Source organism: Homo sapiens, chromosome 5 (genome assembly GCF_000001405.40).
Source record: "Homo sapiens chromosome 5, GRCh38.p14 Primary Assembly".
NCBI lineage: Eukaryota > Metazoa > Chordata > Mammalia > Primates > Hominidae > Homo > Homo sapiens.
The window spans coordinates 55,114,970-55,129,789 of record NC_000005.10 but is presented as its reverse complement, the minus strand read 5'-3'; the positions used below and the strand labels follow the sequence as shown (position 1 = coordinate 55,129,789).

Below are 14,820 nucleotides of genomic sequence, written 5' to 3'. Positions count from 1 at the left end.
TAGATCAGTTTCTTAAACTTTGACCATGCTGGTTTGGGTCTGTATCTCATACATGTGGATCAGAGCCTAGGCTGAGACTTGTATGGATGTTTCAAATCTCAGTTCGTTTCTTAAAGCCTTTACTAAGGTGATTTGAGTCTCTTCTGCATGTAGGTGATTTAGGGGTAAGGCTGAGATGTGTGTGAATTAATATACTCACACTCAGAGGATCTCTTTCTTTTGGCTTTCCCATGTCTAGGACTTTTCCCTCATACTGGTATCAGTTCTATGCCTCAGGCTCTTTTCCATGGTTTCTCTGACCAGAAATATGGTGGCCTTTTTGTCAGAGTCTTCGCTGGCACTCCATCAATGGGGCCTGTCCTCAGGGCAAAGGTGTGAAAGAAGAAAAGTGGGAAACTTACCCCCCGCCAGTTTGCTTCTCCAAATTTTGACTCCCTTACTTAGTTTACTGCTTTTCCTTACTTTACAGGATCTCCAGGTGTTTGTTTTTTATATTTCATTCAGAGTTTATATTTATCATGGGGACGGAATGTATTGTAGGGGTTTAAACTACTGTAGGGGAACTGGTGTGCTACTTAGTTTTATACTGATACGTGTCAGTCAGGAGTTTCTGACTGATAAGAAATAAGATAGGGTATATTTTAATAAATGGTCATACAAATATGTTTTCTCTTAGCAGTCAAAGGTTTCTTATTAGTATAAGCTATAGAATACTGTTGAGAACGTGTAGGTATCATACATGAACCACCACCTCTTCTAGCTGGGTGGTGTTTTTGGTTAGAAATGATGGTGGCATCTCCCATATAGATATCCTAGGTCCAAGAGTGTCTCCATAAGAATTATATGCTTTTAACTTTTACTGATCCGTTAAACGAAGTCTACATGTACTAATAATGGTAGATGAATCTGCCAAGTTCTTTAAATGGCTCTAAATAAATATATTTCAGTGTAAATAATAAGCATTATTGCTTATTAGACTGTGAGTGTTGACACTAGATTCTATTCCACTTTTCATTTTTGAACTTTTAAGGATTTTCATGGTTCCATGTTTCCATTTTCCAGCTAACCATGGGGATGGTATTATTCTTTTCCCCCTACCTATAAAGTTGTTTATTTGAACATGTTTTCATGTGGCTGTATAATTATACTAATTTGAAGTGCTTTTCTTATAGATCTGAATATCCTAGATTGGAGTTTTCAGAATCTTGTTGCCATAGCCCTGGGCTCTGCTGTATACATCTGGAATGGGGAGAACCACAATGGGATTGAAAACATAGACTTAAGTCTCACTTGTAACTATATCTCTTCTGTGTCCTGGATAAAAGAGGGAACTTGCCTGGCAGTTGGCACCAGCGAGGGAGAAGTGCAAGTACTGGCCAGTTTTTTTTTTTCTCATCATGTTCTCTGTGTATTATTACACTATAATTGACTTTTAATAACAAGTTAATGTAAAATAGAGAAACTAGGTGTGGCTCTTGAAGTATGGGGAATAAAAGGAGATGACATTCCGCTTTTTTTTTTTTTTTTTTACTGAATGGTTTTTAATGAAAACGTAAGGATACTCTGGTTAGTTTCCACCACAATCTTTCTGTCATATTTAAAAATATATTTTCTCTGAAACTAAAGTTGGGCTTGTAGAATCTCCAGTTTTGGAGCTTTGGAGAGAGGAAGATACTTTCAGTTCTCCTTTTCACCTGAAGCCGTGATTAAGAGTACAGTTATAGAAAATGAGTGAATTTTTTTTTCTGATAGGCTCCTTGAGATGGGGATTTATCAAATTTCCATCAATCTATCTGATTTCTCATGTATCATTATTATTGTTTATTACCAATAGAATAAACAATATCACTCATGTGCAAATGACTTAGGAGGGCCACAGATGGCTCTCTCACTGCTTTCTCATCTCTGCAATGATAATGAATGCTGTGAAGTCTATGTCATGATTTCTTCTTACACCAAAGTTGTCATTCCCCATGTGGATCAGAATATTATCTGTAGCTCGCAGGAAGGGAGTCTCTTAGCAGTAAGTGGAATTACTGATTCTAGGAAGTGTCCGGGTACCCACATCTTATTAATACATTTGTTGGTAACTGTGGGTAGATTTCCAGATTTGGAATTCTCACAATTTAGAAGGAGCTAGAAATGTGGTAATAATTCTCAACCCTTGGCTGCACATTGAATTCACCTGGGGAGCTTTAAAACAACTGCCATATATCCCCAGGCTCTACTCTACCAACTAAATCAGCATCCATAGTGTTATAGACTCCCCAGCTGATCCTAATACACAGTCAGAATTGAGAACTGCTGGCTAGATGTGCTGGGTTTTCACTTAGTACAAAAACTAACAATATCAGCAGTAATTGGCTCTCAGGCCTTTGAGAAGACAGTGGGCTGTGAAAACTCCAATGCTACATAACTCTCCTTGTTCATTTTTTCAGTTATGGGATGTGGTAACTAAAAAGCGGCTGAGAAATATGCTTGGTCATTTGTCAGTAGTTGGGGCTCTGAGCTGGAATCACTTTATCCTCAGCAGGTAAGAAGCGTCTTGTTGGAGACAGTTATGTTTGTATTAACAATTGATTATGGGGCCTGAGTAAACAGTTGTAATATTCAAAACCTAAACCAATCAAAAATAAAACAAAATAGGCCATTGGACTTAATATCAGGTATGATCCCACCCTCTCAGGTATTCAGATCTGCTGGTCATGTAAGTGTCTTGGTGGCCACATGTATCATGTGTGCCTTCTGCATGGGATGCACTAAATTGTTCAGATAAAATGTGAAAATCCCTTCAAGCAAAAGGTTTCTCTGTGCTAAGTAATAGGTACTAAAGGGATATTTTGCTGAAATCAAGTATTTATTGCTGTCAGTATCTATACTATGGAATATGTTAAGCTCTCTGGGACACATTTCCAATTCATAGACCCACAGAAATTAGAGCAGAAGGAACCTCATAGATTATCCTGTTCAGTAGTTCTCAAACTAGAACATGTATCAGAATCACCTGGAGAGCTCCTCAAAATGCAGATTGCTGGCTTCACTTGAGGGACTTCAGATTCATTAGGTCTTGAGGGGCTGATAATTGGCATTTCTCATTTCCCAAGTGATGCTGATGATACATCCCTTTGAGAACTAGTGATTTAGTTTAACTGCTTCTTTTTAACCAGAAAAATTAAGGGACTTTTTCCTATGAGCCTACATAACTGGTCTAAATATATATTGCTTTTAATCATAGCCATTCATTTTCATATTGTAGTTCTTAAGGTTAAGGTAGACTTAAGTTAGATAAATCCCAAAGACTGTTTTTTTTTTTTTTTTTTTTTGACATGGAATCTCACTCTGTCACCTAGGCTGGAGTTCAGTGGCGTGATCTCAGCTCACTGCAACCTCCACCTCCCGAGTAGCTGGGACTACAGGCGCCCACCACCATGCCTGGGTAATTTTTGTATTTTTAGTAGAGATGGGGTTTCACTATGGTGGCCAGGATGGTCTTGAACTCCTGACCTTGTGATCCACCTGCCTCGGCCTGCCAAAGTGCTGGGATTACAGGTGTGAGCCACCGCGCCTGGCCATCCCAAAGACTTTTAAAATGTATTTAAGTAATCTGATGTAAACTTGAGACTTGAATATCTTGTGTTTTTGGCCGGTCTTAAAACAACTTAGTTATTGCAGTCAATTATGTACTCAAGCTCCTTTTCTAATCTGCATTGTTAAAATTTAGTTTCATTATCCACGAGGAAAATGAGCAGATCCTTTCTTATAATAATAGCAGCTAACATTTTCAGACTACTCTGTGCCAGGCACTGTGCTATACTTTTTATGTGTGTAATTTCATTTTAATCACTGCAGTAACATGATAAGGTGGTCTCTTATCCTCAATTTTGTTTTTTCAAATTAAACTAAGACACTAGCCTGAAGTCACATGGTTAGTAAGTGATGGAGTTGGAATAACCCAGCTGGTCTGGCTCCAGAGCCCATATTGTTAATCACAATGCTGTTCAGCATTGCATAGTTTTAAACAATGCGACACTGGACTTTGAGAAATGTCTGAAATAATTGTGGAACATCATTTACTTACTCCTTAGAGAAAATTAAATTAATCCAGAAAGCGTTCATTATCTTTGAAAAAGTGATGTGATCTTTAGTTGTTTAGATTCACATCACTGAGCATGAATGGAGACATTATCCACTGCTTAGGAATCATATTGCAGTTTGCTGTGACATTCAATTGGTTTTAAACTTCTTTTACAAAGAAGTTTAGTTCTTTAGCAAAACTAAGAATGGATCTATAGGTTAATAGGACTCTACCTGTTAGATATTTATTTCCTTTTTCTATGTCTAACATTTTACTGTAAATATATACTGAAACCATTTTGTTGAGATAATCTGAAATATTCAAAGTTGCAGAAAAGTGTTAATATTTCCTAGGTCCTGTATATAAACTAGTCTTTGGGAAAATCTGGTAATCTTCTCAGCTTATTTTTCCATCGCTGCTTACATCAGATTAAAGTCATTAGAAACATCTATCAAAGGATATTTTTAAATCTAGACTTCAAACTCTGCCAGACAAATCAATTTCACTTGTGAAAAGAATCCTCCAGGCAGAACACTCCATCCTTATTAACCCAAGGAATCTCCACCTGTGTTTTGAATCTGTCCTAGGGGTCTTTCAGAAGTTTTACTTTGAACTATGCTTTCCTCCATGTTTTCAAATGTTTATGTAGCAACAGGGCTTAATTTTTTTGTTATGTAAACTCGCAGTGGGTCAAGACTGGGGCGTGTTTATCATCACGATGTTCGGGTAGCCCAGCATCATGTTGGAACACTTCGCCACAAGCAAGCTGTGTGTGCTCTGAAGTGGTCACCGGATGGCAGGCTGCTTTCCAGCGGCTGCAGTGATGGACTGCTGACAATATGGCCCCACGATCCAGGTGCCAGTGCACAGGGCCAACCGCTGAAAGTCATAACCCAGTCTACGGCAGTCAAGGTAAGAAACCCAATAGATTTCTAGGTTTCCTGTTACTCAGAGGCCACTGGGTATCCTTCACATATAAAAAGAAAATCATTAAGCCAATATTTTGAGATTTTTCTTTCTCTAGAATTTGCTTTGGAGTTTGTCATCACTCTCCTGAAAGACAACCCTATTTATACTTTCCACTGGTCAGATTTTTTAGTTGTAGGTGACTGAAACCAAAGTCAAACTTAAGCTTAAGCAAAAAAGTAAATCTATTTTTTTCATGTAACTTTGGAGTCCTGGGTACATACAGCTGGTTTTAAATATCAGCTGGATCTAAGGCTTTGAGTAATGTCATTTGGGCCCATCTTTTTAGCTCTTGGCTCTGCTTATCTCTGGTTTCATTCTTCCTTCAGACTTCATTTTCTGGGCAAGATGGCTCTTGGCAGCTTCAGATTCAGATTCTTCCAGATGGGCGCTGGATAAGAAGCCATTTTTCCTTATAACTCTGGTGGAAATGTGCCAGGGAGGACTCTAGTCTGCCTTTGGTCACATTCTCATCTCTCAGTTAATAATTGTGGCCAGAGAGATGGGCACACTGATGGGCCTGGGTCACAAGCTCACACGTAAGAAAAGAGATCAACTGTCAGAAGATGGCAGGGTGCTGTGGAATTAGATCAATGCTCCACCATGTTCTGCATAATTATTTATTTCTCTTTTAAATTCTTATTTCTAGTAAAAAAATTCCATAGTTTCCTTCTTGAGGACTTGGTGACACAGATGTGTCTTGACCTCAACGTAGTCCCAGAATATATGTCACTCACAGAGCAAAGAAATGGTTCTACCTTATTAACAGTAAGCAAATTTATTACAAGAGGATTTAAAAGTTATTACAGGGCTTCCTAATATAGGTTGAAATATATAGTGACTGCTGCCACTACATTGTACTGGCCCAATATTCCTGGCTTGTAGTTTTTCATGTCTACAGGATATTGAGAATGATGATCGGTCCAAATTCCCAGTATTCATGACTTGAAGTAGGCAAAATATATGTAAAATACGCTGTCTGAAAACAACATACAAAAACAAAACAAAAAATTAGTTGAAAACCCAAGCCAAGCAAGACAAGTTACCTTTTTAAATGCCTTGTTGTCAAAAATCTGATGCAGTGAACTACTAAATGGGAGTCCTTTTCACTAAGAGAGAGTCTCCGGAAACCAGAGCAAGCCAAGCCTCCTGGCAGTCAGCACCTGGGGAATCACTGAACAGTCACCAGTCGTGTCTCTTCAGTCACCAGCTAACCAACAGGTGGAGCAGGAGTAGACTTTGCAGGTTGACATGTGCGTGATTCCTCTCATGGTGTAGCTTCTAGTTTTGCCAAAATATTTATTATAAAAGCTATCTGGAAGTGTAGGATATTTAAGAAAATGATTATTAATAAATATAAAAAATTATTATCCATCATATGGTAAAACTGGGGCCCATGGGCTCAGGGGAATTTCTGAGCCTCTTGAAATTGCAAAATTTTGTGTTCTGTGAAATAGCCCTCTTCTCCAGCCTAATCAGAGGTGGAGAATGGTTATTTGAAAAAGACAATTAAAGCAGGGAACTTTAACTTATGATATATATTGTAGATATTTTATTTTGACTGAAAACATTACATTCACCAGATTTATTAAACCGTACATTAATTCACCATATGAGACCAAGACCTCTACTTTGAGTGTAGGTAGGCTGATGAGAATTCCTCATTGTCTTTCTTGTATGAACTATAACCATATTTCATTGTTCAAGGTTTCTGTTTATAGTATCTGTCTGGTTATCTATTGCTGTGCAACAAATTACTCAAAAACTTAGTGGCTTAAAACAATAATCATTTCATTATCTTTTATGGTTTCCTGGGTAAGGATTCTGGGAAAATGTCATCTGAGCAGTTCTGGCTCAGGATCACTCATGAGGTTGCAGTCAGACAGCATCGGAAGCTAAAAGTGTGGGAGGCTGGACCACTTGTTTGCCAGCTGCCTGGGCATGCTCCTTCTTGTAATTCCAGAGCATCTTCATGTTGTGTGGGCTGATTTGGGTTTCCTCACAACATGGTTGCCTCAAGCCAGTTGGGAGTTTGTGCTTCAGGGCAATAGGTCCAGTGCTTCAGAGAGCAAGGTGAAAGCGTTAACACCTTTTATTAATATAACCTAATTTTGCAATTCATGCAGTGTCACTTTTGTCACATTTATTGGTTCCAGGATAGTCACAAGTCCCACATTCAAAGGTAGAGGAATTAGATTGTACCTATTGATGGAGGGAATGGGCGAGGCTCAGAAGGACTTGTTGGATGAAAGACAGTGTTGTAGCTATCTTTGGAAAATACAATCTGCCGCAGAATCTTTAAAATAGAGTGAGGCCAGGTGCAGTGGCTCATGCCTGTAATCCCAGCACTTTGGGAGGCTGAGGTAGGTGGATCGCTTGAGCCCCAGGGAGATTGAGGCTTCATTGACCCTTTGTGGTAGCACTGCACTCCATCCTCGGCAACAGAGTGAGACTGTGTCTTAAAAAAAAAAAAAAGAGAAAAGACTTCCAAATTGTTTAATTTAGTTCATAGAAGTAACAGTCATCTTTAGTCCAAATAAAGTAGGTGATTTAATTAAACATTTACATGTAATTTGATGAAATCACAGTTATAATAACAAGTTCACCTGTCATAAACAGGTTTGGCAAAACACAGTGGGCTCTATAAACCCACAGCTTAATTAGTGGGAGTAGAAGTGTGGAGCATTCTAGAGAACAGAAGACTAGCATGCTATGGGTAGGAGTAAGTATGTTTTACAGAAGGAGTGGAGAACTTTGGTAAATTTAGCAAGTTGGTTAAATGAAGAATGAGAGCAACTATTGTATATTCAGATGTATGTTTTTAAAAAATGGACTCAAACTTGTAAGAAAAGCGTTAAGATGTAGGTGCTTAGATGGCAAAAAATCCACATGGTGGGAAGTGCTAGAGGAACATAAATACACAGAAAAAAGTTCATTCTTGCTAAGAAGAAAATAAATTACCCTTATAATCTGTTTTGTAATGATTTTAATTTCACTAGATGTAAAATAACATTTTTAACTTCATGTAACCTTTAGCCAGGGTGAAATTAGTATACTCATTGGATGCTGGTGCTGTAAAAAGTTATAACTGCTTGGAAAACTTTATGTCAACTCTTTTGAACCTTGGAATTTACTTAAAAAATTTGTCAGAAAAAAAGACATGTAGAATGTATTCATTACAATGTACTTTATGAGAGCAAACAGCAAATAAAACACACGCACAAAAACAAAAAAAATACTCCTTTCCAAAAAAAATTAACCCAACCCAATACAAATCAAACCACAATACAACAAAAAACCAAAACAGGTCCAGCATTAGCAGAACAAAAATTAATCAGGATATAACGACACGATGGAATATTATGGGATTGTTAAAAATTATAATTGTGAAAAGTCTATTAAAACGTGGAAAACTGTTTATACAATAGGTGAAAACAACAGAAAATAATCAAATAGTATAAACACGATGTTTGCTACTTTATAAAATATTTTTATGTGTAGAAGAGAGGATGCAAAAATGAGGGTAGTTACCAAGATGATTGATAAGGATACACAGATACATATAACTGTAGTATTTGTTAAAATGTCCTTTAAAGTGATTATTATTAGTAATTTCAATTATCAATATAAATGTGTGATACTAAATCCTATTTTTTAGAATTAACTATAATTATAAATAAATAGAAGGCAATTTTATTTTCTGAACTGCTTTAAGATTTGAAGTGCTTGAGACTGTTGAGTTGTGAGCAATCACATATAGTTCTCTTTTCTCTTATCTGACCACTACCTGGAACATAAGGACACAGGTAGACAAATCAGAGAAAGCCTGCATTTTCAGAGCCAATTTGCAAGGGCACATGTGAACTATCCCAGCAGCAGATTTTTGCCCCATAGGATGTATTGCATGTAGTTTTTCAACTGTTATTGCATAGTCTATGTTAAAAAATCCACAATTGTTATCATCATTTGATAACAATTTGATTTGAGTCGTATTAGGTACCTTCCCTTCCAGAAGTGACTGCTAGTCCCTGAGGAATAATCTCTGGAGGGTGCAGTTGCTCCTGCCTTTAGATAGCAGGCCCAGGAGAGCTGTGACAGGTGCAGACGTGGGGACTTGCTGCTTACCTAAGTGCATCACATTCATGAGTGCACCTCCTTTGAAGCTGACCTGTCTGTGCTATTATGTGAAACTTTAAAGGCCATGGATTGGTGTCCCTGGCAGTCTGGGGTCCTTGCCATTGGAGGAGGAATGAAGGATGGACGCTTACACATCTTGGATATAAATGCTGGGAAGAGCATCCAGACCCCAAGCACAAACTCACAGGTTAATATCTCCTCTGGGCTTCATCTTCATTTTGATCTTCTGGAATCTTGTGAAAATAGTTTACAACAGAGCCTATGCCCCCAACAAGCTCTCTTTCTCTATTGAGTCCATAAGGAATTTGAGTTCTCAAGAGTTTCTTTTTATTGTAAAAACCTCTTCATTTGTGAGTTCAAAGTTAATATAATTTGTGTTTTCTTTTTTTCACATTTCCTTTCTTTCCCCATCACTGCTTTGACCATGAACTTTGAGAGTAATCTGGCTCTTCCTGGCCAATGATCACAGTTCACTTAAATTCTTCAATTTATTGCACCTAAGCCTATTTGTATACTTGATCCTTTGTTGCCTTGGGATAAACTTTCCTAGAATGGTTGTAATTTCTTTAACATCCTACCCCAGCTGTACTGGAGGTTGGGTCATGGACAGTGCATACTGCCTGTAACCAGTTTAACTATATTCATAAGGAATCAGAAATTGCAAGAATTCTCTATTTTTGATCATTATTACAGATTTGTTCCTTAATCTGGCTACCTAAGACAAAGGAGATTGCAACTGGTCAAGGTACTCCCAAGAATGATGTGACTGTGTGGACCTGTCCCACTGTGTCCAGGTCAGGTGGGTTTTTTGGTAAGCAAATGGGTGAGTAAAATGCCATGCACCTATAGCAAAGTGAGCTGTTGTTGGGGGGAAAAGCCCTGAATGAAAGATTTTATCCTTCTGGTTTTTCTAAGTACACATTTCATCAGAGGAAAAAGTCCTACATCCACCCTACCTCAGAGAGCGTATAGTTGAATGTTTCTGAATTTGCCTAAGATTGTTCATCACTTTAAATTAAGTCATCTCCTCCTTGCATATGTATATGAATGATGGAGTGGTGATCTTGGGCAGTTTTTGAACTCGAGTTAGCATCACAAATCATCTTATTTTGAAGAAAAACCAGCGGTGTAGAATGGGTGGAAGATAAAGCGATCTGAAAGGGCAAGACATTATGTGTCAGGAGGCCACTAATGACCATGAGCTTCCTCTGTGAACATCTGCCCTTTCAAGGTAGACCACTACTCTTCTCAGCTTCGTTCTACAAACTTTTACTGGGTACTTCTTGAGAGAAAGACCCCATGATGGGGAGCAAGACCCAGGCCCTGTCCTCTGGGCCTTAAATCCTCTTTTGTGCATCTAGAATGTTAAAGGGGGCTCAAGGGTGAGTAGAGTATCTCCTCTACCCAGCCCAGGGAAACAGGAAGACAAAACTGGTGGTCGATGCAAGAACAGGGCACCGGCATCCAATCTCTTGTAGAACTCTGATTATATATCCCGTCTTTTTCCTCTGTTCACTCACCTGGCCTCCTGGCCAATCCCTGAGGTTTACTTATTGATTATTTATTTATGAAGCATCTATTATGTGGGAGGTACTTTTTGGGGTGCTGGGGATACACAGGTGAACAAGAGAGACAATGTTCTTGCCCTCAGGGAGCCTACACTTTTGTGAGAGGAGACATGCAGAAAACAAATATATGCAATGTTAGGTAGTGATAATACCATGACTCTCTTTGGAGATTCTGAGAATATTAGTGGGCAACAATGAAACAGCCTTATCAGATAGACTTCCTGCCTCTGATGATGAGCCCGACTGGACCTCAGCCTCAGAATGACCTTTGTATTCTTCAGCTGTCACACTCTGTGGCCTGGATCAGAATACAGGGAACTCTTAGCAGAGCCATTTTGGTGATCAGGTGCAAGTGTAGGAAGAGCATGAGTCAATCCTCATATTTTTAATCAAAAGACATGCAATTCCCTGGACCTTTTCAGATTAGAGAAGTATTGTAAATCAAGCCTTAAAACCTGGTTGTTTACAAAACTAATTCCAGCAGCTAGGTATGGCCTTCAGCTAGGTGGGGGCATGTGATAGGATATTCAAATCAATTTGCTGATGCTTAGAATAAAGAATGTACTTACCAGGTGTATTTCCTTGTTTCTCTGGTCCTCACAAGCTATAAGTACTTTAGTTTTAACTCCTTGCGAGTTTTTTCATTAATATTAGAATTTCCAAGAGTGCATTTAACCTTTTCTCTTAAAATGCTTATAGTTGGAGATGAGGTTACTTTTGAGCTCTTAGACACTCATTTTTATCTCTAACCCATTAGTTTCTTCTACATACAGTATTTCTCAAAAGTGTTTAGCAGTTATACAAAACATACATACAAAGTTGTTAATACAAAAACATACCATGTGGTCAGTAAGTTTGGAAATTTGGGGTTAAGCTAGAACAGTTTTTTCTTCTTCTTTTCTTTTTCTTTTTATTTATTTTTTTTGAGACAGAGTCTCACTCTGTTGCCTAGGCTGAAGCTCAATGGCACCATCTCGGCTCACTGCAACCTCCGCCTCCCAAGTTCAAGCAATTCTCCTGCCTCAGCCTCCCAAGTAGCTGGGACTACAGGCGCCAACTACCACGCCTGGCTAATTTTTGTGTGTATTTTTAGTAGAGATGGGGTTTCTCCATGTTGGCCAGGCTGGGCTCGAACTCCTGACCTTAGGTGATCCACCCACCTCGGCCTCCCAAAGTGCTGGGATTATAGGTATGAGCCACCATGCCTGGCCACTGTTTTCTTTCTTAAGGACCTTCCAAAGGCTTGGATAGATTATGTGTGTTGTGCATCACCAAGAGAAGGTGATAGCATTTGTTGTTTCCCAAACACATTTGGGAAATCTGTAGTGGGTGACATCTTGAAGTACTTGTTCCATGAACACACTGAGGGAGCACTGCTGTGTCCCCTGGCCTAGGTATTTAATTTTTATGGCTTTCGTTGTGAGGCTGTGTTTCCATTGTGGGTCAAGAACAGCGCTCTTGACATACACCTGATGACTGAGATCTGGATCAGGGTCTTCAAACTGGGGGTCATGACCATTGGATTATGAATGTAGTGAGTCAAGATCAGCAATAAAAAGTGAAATAGAATAGTATAGGATGGGAAAATGGAAAATTAAGTAGTATTTTATGAAACTTATGTTATAGTTATGTAGTACATGTATGTGCCTGTGTATGGGGTTGCTACATAAAATATAGTTTTGGCTGTGGATTGTGGTCACAAAGTTTGGAACAAAACTATTCTAGATTCTGGTCACACCTTTACTAAGCCGTACCCTGTTAACCATAGTCATGATTTTTTTTGGGGGGAAAATTTCAGTTAAAGAGACCTCACCCACCTGACTACAGAAGAAAGGTAACTTATGATTATTCCCACCTACTCAAGAGTTGTAATTTTTAAGCTTTAAAATAGGAGTAGGTAGCTTTTTAGCTTATAGGGTGAGATCTGGCCTTTGGCTTGGTTTCATCATTCCATGTATCAATATGTGGTCTCATTTATGACTATAGTTGCAGAAAGAAGACAACGTTTTCATGCTTTCAGTGTCTGTATTCTTAGAACTTGAGAAAATAAAGCCTAAAAAGGACCTTTGTCCGAGATAAAGACGACATTTCCCACTATCTGGTAAATTAAGATTGTCACTGATGTGAGAGAAAAACTTCAAGAATGTCTTTGCGTCCAGTCCAAATGCCATTTTCCTAACAAATTCTAAAAGTAGCTTTCCAGTTTTTAAGTCAAGATAGTTTTCAGTACATGCTTTGGAAAAGATTGGGATTTCCCCCCACCATTATTCCTTTTCCCTTTTTCTCTTCTTCATCATAACACAAAAGAGTGAAGGCATATTTATTACCTATTACATTTGTTGAATAGACTTTTCTTTCTTATTAATTTAAAAGCATCAGCACAGCCTGGGCAACATGGTGAGACTCCATTTCTAGAAAAATTACAAAAATTAGCCAGACATGGTGGCACACTCTATAGTCCCAGCTATTTGAGAGACTGAGGTGGAAGGATCACTTGAGTCCAGGAGGTTGAGGCTGCAGTGAGCTGTGTTTGCACCACTGCACTCCAGTCTGGGTGACAGAGTGAGACCCTGTCTCAAAATAAATAAATAAATAAAAGCATTAGAGTAATGTTCTATTATATATTTATCCTCTTCTTTTTAGGAGGCTGGATCTTTCTATGTTGCCCAGGCTGGAGTGCAGTGGCTATTCACAGGCTTGATCATAATGCACTGTAGCCTCAAACACCTTGCTTCAAGTGACCCTCCTGAGTAGCTGGGACTGCAGGCGTGTGCCACTGTGTCCGTCTCCTATATTTATCCTTTTAAAACAACTAAATCAAGTTGCTTTTCATTTATATGGTTTATTATTTTTTAAATAATAGACAGTGGTCTTCCATAAAAAAAAGAGATTCTTTCATCAGGGTTTGGAGTGTGGTCTGAATAGTCACAGCATTGAATTGGATCCTAGTTCTGGCTCTGTCATTGATTAGCTGTGTGACCTTGGGCAATACATTTGGTATCCCCAAATCTTTTCCCTCACCTATAAAATAAGGGGCCTGCATTGTCGTTATAAATGTAAACTTTTTTATGTCCCAACACACCCAGGGCCAATCCCATGTCCCCTTGGAGGCATCCTTTACTGGTGCGTGTGTGTGTGGTGTGTGTGTGCGTGTGTGTGTGTGTGCTTGCGCATGCACGTGGACAGGCACAAAGGAGAGTGTTGGGAGTGATGTGTGTAGAAGAATAAGCATCTCAAATATGTCTCTCTTGGGAGTGGAATAGTGTTTTCACACTCCTTTCTGCTGAGAACCTTGTATCAGAGTACACGATCATTTCTGAAATTCCAGCTCTCAATTGAGTCGTAGGCAGTACTGGTCCTTTGAGCAGTGACCACCCATCTAGTTTGATTTCAGCTGTGCCCACAAATAGCTACCCACTCAAAACCATATCTGACCTCCTTTCCTCCCTCATTCTCCTAGCCTCAGGCTCCTTTCATAGAGTCAGCTTCACCTATTTTGGCCTAAAGTTTTGATCATTAAAGTCACTGTTGGATTGGGCCAGATTTTGCAAAGCATTTTCCAAGGAGCACTAGCCCTTGAGATGCTCAAATTAAAAGAACTCTGTGGTCAGATAAATCTGAGAAGTACTGCCTGTTGTTGCCTCATCTCCGAAACATTTGTAATGCTTCTAGTAGTCCTAAAATGAAGAAATCCTGAAATAAGGAAATGTTTAATTTTCTTAACTCAAAGCTTCCAAATTAGTGTGAACATTAAACAGTCTTTTTGTTTTTAATACCTATTAACCTCTCATAGGACTACTGTGCCATAGAATGTTCTTTGGCAAATAATAATTTAACAGAAGGAGAAGTATTATCTCCAGAACTTCCTAAGTGTGGCTCATGCATGCTCTGTGGGAGAGCTTTTTTGGTCCTTTTTCATTAAGCTGCTTCAGTTTATCTGATTAGTTTATTGAAACCTGGGGCCCAGTGGGATACTTCTGGGGGAAGGCTGGGATATGTGGCAGGAGCATAGCACTGTCATTCGTAGGAATGGTTGGATTAGAGAAGACAGAACTAACAACAGTATAGGGCATG

The 14,820-nt window shown here is 38.9% G+C and overlaps 1 protein-coding gene across 3 annotated transcripts in view; it reads left to right on the top strand.

Annotated features, from left to right (window-relative positions):
* The window catches only part of CDC20B (cell division cycle 20B), a 60,207-nt gene that overhangs the window by 43,388 nt on the left and 1,999 nt on the right, over positions 1-14,820 (top strand). Inside the window, exons 7-11 of one of the 3 annotated variants that reach the window (NM_152623.2) lie at positions 1,173-1,369; positions 2,439-2,533; positions 4,762-4,987; positions 9,240-9,365; positions 9,872-9,977. In NM_152623.2, the coding sequence (NP_689836.2) occupies positions 1,173-1,369; positions 2,439-2,533; positions 4,762-4,987; positions 9,240-9,365; positions 9,872-9,977 (750 nt within the window). Of the gene's footprint in view, positions 1-1,172; positions 1,370-2,438; positions 2,534-4,761; positions 4,988-9,239; positions 9,366-9,871; positions 9,990-14,820 lie in introns of all 3 variants that reach the window. The other 2 variants (NM_001170402.1, NM_001145734.2) reach the window with 2 other exon arrangements.